The sequence below is a fragment of the Homo sapiens genome, chromosome 4, assembly GCF_000001405.40.
Source record: "Homo sapiens chromosome 4, GRCh38.p14 Primary Assembly".
In the NCBI taxonomy this organism is placed as follows: domain Eukaryota; kingdom Metazoa; phylum Chordata; class Mammalia; order Primates; family Hominidae; genus Homo; species Homo sapiens.
Genome location: NC_000004.12, coordinates 81,179,944 through 81,193,791, shown reverse-complemented (window position 1 = coordinate 81,193,791; position 13,848 = coordinate 81,179,944). Strand labels below are relative to the sequence as shown.

Sequence of the window (13,848 nt, the reverse complement as noted above, 5' to 3'; positions counted from 1 at the left end):
CTCAGCTCACTGCAACCTCTGCCTTGTGGGCTCAAGCGATTCTCCTGCCTCTGCCTCCTGAGTAACTGGGATTACGGGCGCCCACCACCACACCCTGCTAATTTTTGTATTTTTAGTAGAGATGGGGTTGCACCATGTTGGCCAGGCTGGTCTAGAACTCCTGACCTCAGGTGATCTGCCCACCTTGGCCTCCCAAAGTGCTGGGATTACAGGTGTGAGCCATCGCGCCTGGCCAGCATAGAGTTTTTAGATTTGTTCTAACTCAGCGTTTAAGGTGTTGGTAACTTGCCTACTTATTGTGGTGATAGCTAACCCTCATGCAGTATATTTTATGTACCAGGCACAGTTCTTAGTGCTTTATTTTGTTAACTAATTTAATTCTCATAGAAATCTGTGACCTGTAGACTCTGTTTATTATTGTTTTACAGCTGAGGAAACTTAGGGGTTCAGTGACTTGCCTAAGGTTCCGCAGTTAGTAAGTGGCAGAAGTTGGAATCAAATCCTGGCATTCCAGCTCTACTAGATTTTGTGACCTTCACAAATATGCCTTACCATATGTTTTCTAATTGCATGTAGATATAATTAAGCTATGAAATGAAATACAAGTAAAGTTGCTGCCTCTTATGCTCACAAAAAATCCTTGATAGATAGGGATGAAGGAAGGTCAAGGTCACTGGCCCCAGCTTTGCACTGAGCCTTATTCAAAGAAGGTTGCAAGATACATGCTTTGACCTGGAAAAAACAAAAAACAAAAAACAAAAAACAACAGTGAGAACACGGACCTCTAATATATGAGCCCAGAGAAGAAAGATTGAGAGCCTAATACAACTGTAGGTGAACTTTGCCAAGTTAAACTTCCTGAAGCAACTTAGAGGATGAAAATTTATTGCTTCAAGAAATGTTGACTGTGTAAGTTGGGGGTATAAAGTGATTACAAAAGGATTACTGCTGCCACCTCAAATGGGCATGAATTCAACATCCAGCCCCATTGGAGGAACTTTGAACTGAGCAGAGGGTCTCGTCAGTGCCTCCTTGTTCTATGGTTTTCATAACTTTTCTCATTCCACTCTTTCCCCCAGAAAGACTTCTACCATTTCCAGCTACTATGACTACCATTTATTAAGTTACTGGCACGTTATTTAAGTTAATGTGCATAATATTCCTATGAAGTAGGCATAATTACTATGCCTATTCATAGATGAGAGATCTGAGATTCAGAAAGCCTAAGTTACTTGTCCAATATAATGAAGCAAGGAAGGTGCTGGCAGCATGTATGCTAAAATTGAAGCTAGGTAGTGCCAGACCTGATATTTCAACCTAAGATTTTCTGATTCCAAAGTCATACATATTTTTTAAAATGAATTTTTAATTGAAGTACACAAAAAGTAAAGTGAACATACCCATGTGACCACCAAAATGATCAGAAAATAAACATTACTAGCACCTTGGAAGCCCCTCATGCCCTCTTTCAATTTCTACCCATTATCTTCCCTTTTAAAGGGAGCTACTATTTGCACTACTTTTATCAGACATAGTACTTTTTACCTGTTGTTGAAATTTATTTAATGGAAGTACGGAGTGTGTACTCTAAAGACTCTGGCTTCTTTTGTTCCTAGAGTGAGATTCATTTATGTTATTGTATGTAACAGAGGTTCACTAATTGTCATTGCTATATAGTATTTCCTGTATGACTATATACAATTTAATCATTCTATGATTTATAGGCATTTGGTTAATTCTGGTATTTAGCATTTATGAATAATGCTGCCATGAACATTTTTGTACATGTCTTGTATATGAATTATGATGGGTATAAACCTAGGAGTGAAGTTACTGGGTAGTACATTATATCCAAGTTTAATATAGATGGCCAAATAACTTTCCAAAATGATTAAACAAATATATACTCCCACCAACACATATGTGTATTAAATGACTTCATGCATTCAACAGCATTCAGTCAGTCTTTTTCATTTTGGCCATTCTGCTGGACATTTTGTGGTGTCTCAGTGTCCTTTTAGTTTTCTTTTCCTTGATAATTAACAATGGTGAGCCCTTTTCGATGTGTATATTTTCTGTTGAGGTCTGTTTATCTCCCATAGCTCTGTAGTACAACTGTTGTCATAAATCAGGAATCTATGAATGTGTAGGTCAATTTTTGAATTTTCTTTTCTGTCCCAGAATTCTTTTTTTATTTTTATTATTAATATTATCCTTTAAGTTCTGGGATACACGTGCAGAAGGTGCAGGTTTGTTACATAGGTATACACGTGCCATGCTGGTTTTGCTGCACCCATCAACCCCTCATCTACATTAGGTATTTCTCCTAATACTATCCCTTCTCCAGCCCCCAACCCCCTGACAGGCCCCAGTGTATGATGTTCCCCTCCCTGAGTCCATGTGCTCTCATTGTTCATCTCCCACTTATGAGTGAGAACATGTGGTGTTTTGTTTTCTGTTCCTGTGTTAGTTTGCTGAGAATGATGGTTTCCAGCTTCATCCATGTCCCTCCAAGGGACATGAACTCATCCTTTTTTATGGCTGCATAGTATTCCGTGGTGTATATGTGCCACATTTTCTTTATCCAGTTTATCACTGATGGGCATTTGGATTGGTTCCAAGTCTTTGCTATTGCTAACAGTGCTGCAATAAACATACGTGTGTGTGTATCTTTATAGTAGAATGATTTATAATCCTGTGGGTATATACCAAGTAATGGGTGTGCTGGGTCAAATGGTATTTCTGGTTCTAGATCCTTGAGGAATCGCCACACTGTCTTCCACAATGGTTGAATTAATTTACACTCCCACCAACAGTGTAGAAGTGTTCCTGTTTCTCCACATCCTCTCCAGCATCTGTTGTTTCCTGACTTTTTAATGATCACCATTCTACCTGGCATGAGATGGCATCTCATTGTGGTTTTGATTTGCATTTTTCTAATGACCAGTGATGTTGAGCTTTTTTTCATGTCTGTTGGCTGCATAAATGTCTTCTTTTCAGAAGTGTCTATTCATATTCTTCACCCACTTTTTGATGGAGTTATTTTTTTTCTCGTAGATTTGTTTCAGTTATTTGGGGATTCTGGATATTAGCCCTTTGTCAAATAGAAAGATTGCAAACTTTTTCTCCCATTCTGTAGGTTGCCTGTTCATTCTGATGACATTTTCTTTTGCTGTGCAGAAGCTCTTTAGTTTAATTAGATCCCATTTGTCAATTTTGGCTTTTGTTACCATTGCTTTTGGTGTTTTAGTCATGAAGTCTTTGCCCATGCCTATGTCCTGAATGGGGTATTGCCTCTTCTAGGGTTTTTATGGTTTTAGGTCTTATATTTAAGTCTTTAATGCATCTTGAGTTACTTTTTGTATAAGTTTTAAGGAAGGGGTCCAGTTTCAGTTTTCTGCATATGGCTAGCCAGTTTTCCCAACACCATTTATTAAGTAGGGAATCCTTTCTTGATTGCTTGTTTGTGTCAAAGATCAGATTGCTTGTTTGTCAAAGATCAGATGGTTGTAGATGTGTGGCACTATTTCTGAGGCCTCTGTTCTGTTCCATTGGTCTACATATCTGTTTTGGTACCAGTACCATGCTGTTTTGGTTACTATAGCCATGTCCAATAGTTTGAAGTCAGGTAGCATGATGCCTCCAGTTTTGTTCTTTTTGCTTAGGATTGTCTTGGCTATCCCGGCTCTTTTTTGGTTTCATATGAAATTTAAAGTAGGTTTTTCTAATTCTGTGATGGAAATCAATGGTAGCTTGATGGGGATAGCATTGAATCTATAAATTACTTTGGGCAGTATGGCCATTTTCACAATACTGATTCTTCCTATCCATAAGCATGGAATGTTTTTCCATTTGTTTGTGTTCTCTCTTATTTCCTTGCAGAGTGGTTTGTAGTTCTCCATGAAGAGGTCCTTCACATCCCTTGTAAGTTGTATTCCTTGGTATTTTATTCTCTTTGTAGCAATTGTGAATGGGAGTTCACTCATGATTTGGCTCTCTGTCTGTTTTTTTTCTTTTTATTATTATTCTTATTATACTTTAAGTTTTAGGGTACATGTGCACAACGTGCAGGTTAGTTACATATGTATACATGTGCCAGGCTGGTGTGCTGCACCCATTAACTCGTCATTTAGCATTAGGTATATCTCCTAAAGCTATCCCTCCCCACTCCCTCTACCCCACAACAGTCCCCAGAGTGTGATGTTCCCCTTCCTGTGTCCATGTGTTCTCATTGTTCAATTCCCACCTATGAGTGAGAATACGCGGTGTTTGGTTTTTTGTTCTTGCGATAGTTTACTGAGAATGATGATTTCCAGTTTCATCCATGTCCCTACAAAGGACATGAACTCATCATTTTTTATGGCTGCATAGTATTCCATGGTGTATATGTGCCACATTTTCTTTTTTTTTGTGTGTGTTGACATTTTTATTATTTCTGAAGATGTAGCAATAATAAAATAAGACAAAAAGATTAAATAAGACAAAATCTTTCTCTTCAGAAAGAACTCATTCTAGGGATGGGGCCAGAACATACAGAAACGACATTTTAAATGCTTTATGCTACAGGATAAAAATTTAGATGGCAAAACAATAAGACAGATATGTAATTAGAAATAGAAGTATTTGAATTGTCACTTTAAGGTAAAAACCTGTATTTTTCCTTGGTGCTCTACTGAAACATTGTGCAATTGCTAGCTTCTTTTTTTTTTTTTTTTTTTTTTTTTTATTATTTTTTTTAATCTTTTTTTTTTCTTTTTTTATTATTATTATTATACTTTAAGTTTTAGGGTACATGTGCACATTGTGCAGGTTAGTTACATATGTATACATGTGCCATGCTGGTGCGCTGCACCCACTAACGTGTCATCTAGCATTAGGTATATCTCCCAATGCTATCCCTCCCCCCTCCCCCGACCCCACCACAGTCCCCAGAGTGTGATATTCCCCTTCCTGTGTCCATGTGATCTCATTGTTCAATTCCCACCTATGAGTGAGAATATGCGGTGTTTCGTTTTTTGTTCTTGCGATAGTTTACTGAGAATGATGGTTTCCAATTTCATCCATGTCCCTACAAAGGACATGAACTCATCATTTTTTATGGCTGCATAGTATTCCATGGTGTATATGTGCCACATTTTCTTAATCCAGTCTATCATTGTTGGACATTTGGGTTGGTTCCACGTCTTTGCTATTGTGAATAGTGCCGCAATAAACATACATGTGCATGTGTCTTTATAGCAGCATGATTTATAGTCCTTTGGGTATATACCCAGTAATGGGATGGCTGGGTCAAATGGTATTTCTAGTTCTAGATCCCTAAGGAATCACCACACTGACTTCCACAGGGGTTGAACTAGTTTACAGTCCCACCAACAGTGTCAAAGTGTTCCTATTTCTCCACATCCTCTCCAGCACCTGTTGTTTCCTGACTTTTTAATGATTGCCATTCTAACTGATGTGAGATGGTATCTCATTGTGGTTTTGATTTGCATTTCTCTGATGGCCAGTGATGGTGAGCATTTTTTCATGTGTTTTTTGGCTGCATAAATGTCTTCTTTTGAGAAGTGTCTGTTCATGTCCTTCACCCACTGTTTGATGGGGTTGTTTGTTTTTTTCTTGTAAATTTGTTTGAGTTCATTGTAGATTCTGGAAATTAGCCCTTTGTCAGATGAGTAGGTTGCAAAAATTTTCTCCCATTTTGTAGGTTGCCTGTTCACTCTGATGGTAGTTTCTTTTGCTATGCAGAAGCTCTTTAGTTTAATGAGATCCCATTTATCAATTTTGGCTTTTGTTGCCATTGCTTTTGGTGTTTTAGACATGAAGTCCTTGCCCATGCCTATGTCCTGAATGGTAATGCCTAGGTTTTCTTCTAGGGTTTTTATGGTTTTAGGTCTAACGTTTAAGTCTTTAATCCATCTTGAATTGATTTTTGTATAAGGTGTAAGGAAGGGATCCAGTTCTGTTTGTCTGTTATTGGTGTATAGGAATGCTTGTGATTTTTGCACATTGATTTAGGATCCTGAGATTTGATGAAGTTGCTTATCAGCTTAAGGTGATTTTGGGCTGAGACGATGGGGTTTGCGAAATATACAATCATGTCATCTGCAAACAGAGACAATTTGACTTCCTCTTTTCCTATTTGAATACCCTTTATTTTTTTTCTCTTGCCTGATTGCCCTGGCCAGAACTTCCAATACTATGTTGAATAGGAGTGGTGAGAGGACAGCCTTGACTTGTACCAGATTTTAAAGGGAATGCTTCCAGATTTTGCCCATTCAGTATGATATTAGCTGTGGGTTTGTCATAAATAGCTCTTATTATTCTGAGATACGCTCGTAGTTCATTGAGAGTTTTTAGCACATAGGGGTGTTGAATTTTGTTGAAGTCCTTTTCTGCATCTATTGAGATAATCATGTGGTTTTTGTCATTGGTTCTGTTTATGTGATGGATTACATTTTTTGATTTGCATATGTTGAACCAGCCTTGCATCCCAAGGATGAAGCCGACTTTATCCTAGTGGATAAGCTTTTTGATGTGCTGCTGGATTCGGTTTCCCAGTATTTTATTGAGGATTTTTGCATCAATGTTCATTGGGGATATTGGCCTGAAATTTTCTTTTTTTGTTGTGTCTCTGCCAGGTTTTGGTATCAGGATGATGCTGGCCTCATAAAATGAGTTAGGGAGGAGTCCCTCTTTTTCTATTGTTTGGAATAGTTTCAGAAGGAATGGTATCAGCTCCTCTTTGTATATCTGGTAGAATTTCGCTGTGAATCTGTCTGGTTTTGGGCTTTTTTTGATTGGTAGGCTATTAATTACTGCCTCAATTTCTGAACTTGTTATTGGTCTGTTGAGGCATTTGACTTGTTCCTGGTCTAATCTTGGGAGGGTTTATGTGTCCAGGTATTTATCCATTTCTTCTAGATTTTCTAGTTTATTTGAGTAGAGGTGTTTATAGTATTCTCTGATGGTAGTTTGTATTTATGTGGGATCAGTGTTGATATCCCCTTTATCGTTTGTTATTGTGTCTGTTGGACTCTTCTCTCTTTTCTTCTTTATTAGTCTGGCTAGGGGTCTATCTATTTTGTTAATCTTTTCCAAAAACCAGCTTCTGGATTCATTGATTTTTTTTGAAGGGTTTTTCATGTCTCTTTCTCCTTCAGTTCTGTTCTGATCTTAGTTATTTCTTGTCTTCTGCTAGCTTTTGAGTTTGTTTGCTCTTGCTTCTCTAGATCTTTTAATTGTGATGTTAGGGTGTCAATTTTAGATCTTTCCCACTTTCTCCTGTGGGCATTGAGTGGTATAAATTTCCCTCTAAACACTGCTTTAGCTGTGTCCCAGAAATTCTGGTACATTGTGTCTTTGTTCTCATTGGTTTCAAAGAACTTATTTATTTCTGCCTTAATTTTGTTATTTACCCAGTAGTCATTCAGGAGCAGGTTGTTCAGTTTCCATATAGTTGTGCAGTTTTGAGTGAGTTTCTTAATCTTGAGTTCTAATTTCATTGCACTGTGGTCTGAGAGTTTGTTTTTTATGATTTCCATTCTTTTGCATTTGCTGAGGAGTGTTTTATTTCCAATTATGTGGTCGATTTTAGAATAAGTGTGGTGTGGCGCTGAGAAGAATGTATATTCTGTTGATTTGGGGTGGAGAGTTCTGTAGGGATCTGTTAGGTCTGCTTGGTCCAGAGCTGAATCAAGTCCTGAATATCCTTGTTATTTTTCTGTCTTGTTGATCTGTCTAATATTGACAGTGGGGCGTTGAAGTCTCCCGCTACTATTGTGTGGGAGGCTAAGTCTCTTTGTAGGTTTCTAATAACTTGCTTTATTGATCTGCGTGCTCCTTTATTGGGTGCATATGTATTTAGGATAATTAGCTCTTCTTGTTGCATTGATTCCTTTACCATTATGTAATGCTCTTCTTTGTCTTTTTTGATCTTTGTAGGTTTAAAGTCTGTTTTATCAGAGACTATGATTGCAACTTTTGCTTTTTGTTGCTTTCCATTTGCTTGGTAAATATTCCACCATCCCTTTTTTTGAGCCTGTGTTTGTGTTTGCATGTGAGATGGATCTCCTGAACACAGCACCCCGAGGGGTCTTGACTCTATCCAGTTTGCCAAGTCTGTGTCTTTTAAGTGGGGCATTTAGCCCATTTACATTTAAGGTTAATATTATTATGTGTAAATTTGATCCAGTCATGATGCTAGCTGGTTATTTTGCCCATTAGTTGATGTGGTTTCTTCATAGTGTTGATGGTCTTTACAATTTGGTATGTTTTTGCAGTGGCTGGTACTGGTTTCTCCTTTCCATATTTAGTGCTTCCTTCAGGAGCTCTTGTAAGGCAGGCCTGGTGGTGACAAAATCTCTCAGCATTTGCTTGTTTGTAAAGGATTTTATTTCTCCTTTGCTTATAAAGCTTAGTTTGGCTGGATATGAAAGTCTGGGTTGAAAATTCTTTTCTTTAAGAATGTTGAATATTGGCCCCCACTCTCTACTGGCTTGTACGGTTTCTACACAGAGATCCACTGTTAGTCTGATGGGCTTCTCTTTGTGAGTAACCCGACCTTTCTCTCTGGCTGCCCTTAACATTTTTTCTCCATTTCAACCTTGGTGAATCTGATGATTATGTTTCTTGGGGTTGCTCTTCTTGAGGACTATCTTTGTGGTGTTCTCTATATTTCCTGAATTTGATTGTTGCCCTGTCTTGCTAGGTTGGGGAAGTTCTCCTGGATAATATCCTGCAGAGTGTTTTCCAACTTGGTTCCATTCTCCCCATCACTTTCAGGTATACCACTCAAATGTAAGTTTGGTCTTTTCACATATTAGGCTTTGTTCATTCCTTTTCATTCTTTTTTCTCTTACTTTGTATTCACTCTTTATTTCATTAAGTTGATCTTCAATCTCTGATATCCTTTCTTTCGCTTGATTGATTCAACTATCAATACTTGTATATGCTTCTCAAAGTTCTCTTGCTGTGTTTTTAAGCTTCATCAGGTCATTTATGTTCTTCTCTAAACTGGTTATTCTAGTTAGCAATTCCTCTAACCCTTTTTCAACATTCTTAGTTTCCTTGCATTGGGTTAGAACATGCTCCCTTATCTCAGAGGATTTTGTTATTACCCTCCTTCTGAAGCCTACTTCTGTCAATTCATCAAACTCATTTTCTGTCCAGGTTTGTCCCCCTGGCTGGTGAGGAGCTGTGGTCCTTTGGAGGGGAGGCATTCTGGTTTTTGGAATTTTCAGCCTTTTTGTACTGGTTTTTCCTCATCTTCATGGATTTATCTACTTTGGTCTTTGATGTTGGTGACCTTCAGATGGGGTTTCTGTGTGGGCATCCATTTTGTTGATGTTGATGCTATTCCTTTCTGTTTGTTAGTTTTCCTTCTAATAGGCCCCTCTGCTGCAGGTCTGCTGGAGTTTGCTGGAAGTCCACTCCAGATCCTGTTTGCATGGGTATCACCAGCAGAGTCTACAGAACAGCAAAGATTGCTGCCTGTTCTTCTTCTGGAAGCTTCATCCCAGAGGGGTACCTGACAGATGCCAGCTGGAGCTCTCCTGTATGAGGTGTCTGTCGACCCCTGCTGGGAGGTGTCTCCCAGTCAGTACGCATGGCAGTTCAGGGACCCACTTGAGGAGGCAGTCTGTCCCTTAGCAGAGCTCGAGCTCTGTGCTGGGAGATACGCTGCTCTCTTCAGAGCCAGCAGGCAGGATCATTTAAGTCTGCTGAAGCTGCACTTACTGCTGCCCTTTCCCCCAGGTGCTCTGTTCCAGGGAGATGGGAGTTTTATCTATTAACCCCTTCCTGGGGCTGCTGCCTTTCTCTCAGAGATGCTCTGCCCAGAGAGGGGGAATCTAGAGAGGCAGTCAGGCCGCAGCATCTTTGCAGAGCTGTGGTGGGCTCCACCTAGTTTGAACTTCCCTGCAGCTTTGTTTTCACTATGAGGGGAAAACCGCCTACTGAAGCCTTAATAATGGCAGACACCCCTTCCCCCACTAAGCTCGAGTGTTCCAGGTTGACTTCAGACTGCTGTACTGGCAGTGAGAATTTCAAGCTAGTGGATCTTAGCTTGCTGGTCTCTGTGGGGGTGGGATCCGCTGAGCTAGACTGCTTGGCTCCCTGGCTTCAGCCCCCTTTTCAGGGGAGTGAACGATTCTGTCTTTCTGGCATTCCAGGCACCACGGGGGTATGAAAAAAAAAAATTCCTGCAGCTAGCTCAGTGTCTGTCCAAATGGCCGCCCAGTTTTGTGCTTGAAACCCAGGGCCCTGGTGTCATAGGCACCCAAGGGAATCTCCTGGTCTGCAGGTTGTGAAGACCATGGGAAAAGCGTACTATCTGGGCCTGAGTACACCATTCCTCATGGTGCAGTCCCTCATGGCTTCCCTTGGCTAGGGGAGGGAGTTCCTCGACCCCTTGTCCTTCTGGGTGAGGCGATGCCTCACCCTGCTCAGCTTGCCCTCCGTGGGCTGCACCCACTCTCTAACCAGTCCCAGTGAGATGAGCTGGGTACCTCAGCTGGAAATGTAGAGATCACTCACCTTCTGCATTGATCTCGCTGGAAGCTGCAGACTGGAGCTGTTCCTATTTGGCCATCTTGCCAGCCACTCCCCAAAAGTCTTTTTATCCATTGTTGTGCCAGTAGTATATATTCTCTTAATTATTTTCATTCATCATAATTTTTGATATCCATTACTTTAAGTGTTGTAATTTTTATTCTTCAATGTTGTGAAGCTAGTCTTGGGCCTTTTTATGACTATAAGAATTTAATATCAGCTTCTCAATTTTCATAAATTTTTAAATTTAGAGCATTGATTGGGATTTCATTGAACCTGATCAACCTGAATATAATTAACATAATTAAAAATATAGTCTTCTAATCTATGACCATGGTATATTCCTCCATTTAGTTAGGTTTTCTCTCATTCTTTTAATAATATTTTGTATTCTTCTGTGTAGACATCTTACTTATCTTTGTTAGATATAATCCTTCATAGTTGATACTGTTTTGAATTATTTAAAATTTTTTAATGTTAATTGTTTAATACTAGAATATAGAAATACAATTAAATTTGTATATTGACTTTATATCAAGTGAGATTGTTGAAATCACCTGTTGATATTGGTGGTTTACCTGTACTTTCTTTTGAATTTTTCACATACATAATCATATCTTTTGGAAAGAATACAGTTTACTTTTTTCTTTTCCTATGTTTACATATTTTATTTTTGTTCTTTTTGTTTCTTTTCTTTCTCCCTTTATTAAATTTGCTCAGACTTCTGATTCAGGATTAAAGTGTCCCATTTCTGATGTCTGTAGGAAAGCTTTCAATGTTTCACGATATAATATGATGTGTTTTTGTTTTTGTTTGTTTTATAGATGTATTTTATCAGATTAAGGAGATTTTCCTCTATACTTAATTTGCCAAAAGTATTTCTTAATTCAAAAATTATTACAGGTGTTTAATTTTACCAAATACTCTTTCTGCATCCCATTATATTTGCTACATTTTTCTCCTTTATTCTTTTCATGTTGATAATTATGTTAATGTTCAATCTAATCTAGAATATTTATTTTTTATACTTTGTTTTGTTTTTTACTTTTGTCCCTCTATTCATTAGGGATATTATATTTTATTTTTCTTTTTTGTAGTATAACTCCTTATCAGGCTATTCTGGCACTATAAAATGAATCGGGAAAAATTCGTCTTTCCTGTTTTCTGGAAAATATTACATAAATTTAATATTAATTTTCCTTTAAATATCTATAAGGCTTAATAATAAGGTCATCTGGGTTTAGACTTTTTTGGGTGGGATAGTTTTTATATTTGATTTAGTTTCTTTATTGCTAATCAGATTTTCTATTTCCTCTTGGCTCAGGTTTGGTAGTTTATTTTTCTAGAAATTTTTTTCATTTCATCACAATTTTCCATACTTGATGTTTTTGAAACTATTTTAAATGATGTCATTTTAAAAATTTTATTTTGAATTTTTTGATGCTGGACTACATAGTATGAACAACTATTTTGGCAAGAATGCAGTTTAATTTTTAACTATAAAGTTGTTCATACTACTCATTTCTTTTTTTATAACTGTAATATCCATAGTGATGTCTTCTTCTTATTTCTAGTAATAGTAATTATACCTCCTCCCTCTCTTACTCAAGTCCTGTCTTGTTGTGAATTATCATTTTATTATTTTTTTCAAAGAAATTATTTTGGGCTGTGTTGATTCTCTTCATTATATTTCTTTTTTCCTGTTTTATTATTTTCTGCTGTCATTGTGTTATTTTCTTCCTTCCTTTTTTGAGTTCAACTTACTTTTTCTAGTCTTTTGAGATGGACGCTTAGGACGCTCATTTATAATATTTATTTTATTATATAATTTGACATCATAAATTTTCTTCTATGCATCATTTTAACTGCATCTTACAAGTTTTATGTCATATTTTATTATTTATTTCAAAATATGATTTGGCTTTTCTTATAACTTAATTTTTGACCAATGGGTTGTTTAGAAATGTATTGTTCAATTCTCAAACATTTGAGGATTTTATGATTTTTCTGTTATTAATTTCTAGCTTTATTCTATTAATACTATATTTAAAGAATATACTCTGTATTACTTCAGTCTTATGAAATGTGTTGAAATGATTTGTGGTTTGCCATGTGGTCAGTTTTTATGATTGTTTAATGTGCACTAGAAATGAATGTGTATCTGCATGTTCTCACTCATAGGTGGGACTTGAACATTGAGAACACATGGACACAGGAAGGGGAACATCACACTCCGGGGACTGCTGTGGGGTGGGGGGAGGGGGGAGGGATAGCTAGGAGATATACCTAATGCTAAATGATGAGTTAATTAGGGTGCAGCACACCAACATGGCACATGTATACATATGTAACAAACCTGCACATTGTGCACATGTACCCTAAAACTTAAAGTACAATAATAATAATAAAAAAAGTAATGAATGTGTATTCTGAATTTATTGAAGAGATATTTAAAATATCAGTGAGTTCAAGAGATTCAATAAAGTTCAATAATCAAATATTCAGATCTATTTACTAATTTTTGTTGGCTTATTCTATTAATTAGAGAGATGTGTTAAAATCTCCCAGAATCAATGTGGGACACTTGTCTATTTTTTCTTTTAATTTTGCCAATTTTGCTCCATATATTTTGATACTGTCATATTAAGTGGATACATATTTGGAATATTTAGATATTCTTGATGATATAAATATGAAATATTCCTCTGTATTTCTAGAAATATGTTTTTTATTAAGGTCTACTTTCCTGTATCAGAGAAAAATTTATTTTTAATTGATGTTTACATAGTATATCTTTTTCCACTTTTTTATTTTCAGCCTTTCCATACATTATCTTTAAGGCATGTATCTTATTAGCAATATACACTTGGTATTTCCTCTTAAATTTTATTTCATTTGTCTGACAAGCTTGTCTTTTAATTGGGGTATTTGGTATATTTACCTCCAATGTAAATAAAAAATATTTGGGCTTAAATCTAATATCTAATATTATTCAATTTCTCTTTTTGTTTGCCATGTTTTGAGGATTAATGAAGTATATATTTTAATTCTATTTTATCCTTGTTAGCTTTCATTCATTCATTTATTTATTTATTTAATTTTATTTTTTTGAGATGGAGTTTCACTCTTGTTGCCCAGGCTGGAGTGCAATGGTGCGATCTCAGCTCACTGCAACCTCCGACTCCCGGGTTCAAGCAATTCTCCTGCCTCAGCCTCCCGAGTAGCTGGGATTACAGGTGGCTGCTACCATGCCTGGCTAATTTTTGTGTTTTTAGTAGAGATGGGGTTGGCCAAGCTGGT

At 37.2% G+C, this 13,848-nt stretch overlaps 1 protein-coding gene and 1 long non-coding RNA gene across 8 annotated transcripts in view; one reads left to right on the top strand and one right to left on the bottom strand.

Moving 5' to 3' along the window:
- PRKG2 (protein kinase cGMP-dependent 2) overlaps positions 1–13,848 on the top strand; it is a 130,467-nt gene that overhangs the window by 24,045 nt on the left and 92,574 nt on the right. The gene's annotated exons all lie outside the window — the stretch shown is intronic.
- The window catches only part of PRKG2-AS1 (PRKG2 antisense RNA 1), a 28,456-nt gene continuing 15,004 nt past the window's right edge, over positions 397–13,848 (bottom strand). The window contains exons 4-5 of the long non-coding RNA NR_125908.1: positions 1,546–1,612; positions 397–732 (exon numbers count right to left, since the gene is read on the bottom strand). This is a non-coding gene — a long non-coding RNA (PRKG2 antisense RNA 1). The remainder of the gene's footprint in view (positions 733–1,545; positions 1,613–13,848) is intronic.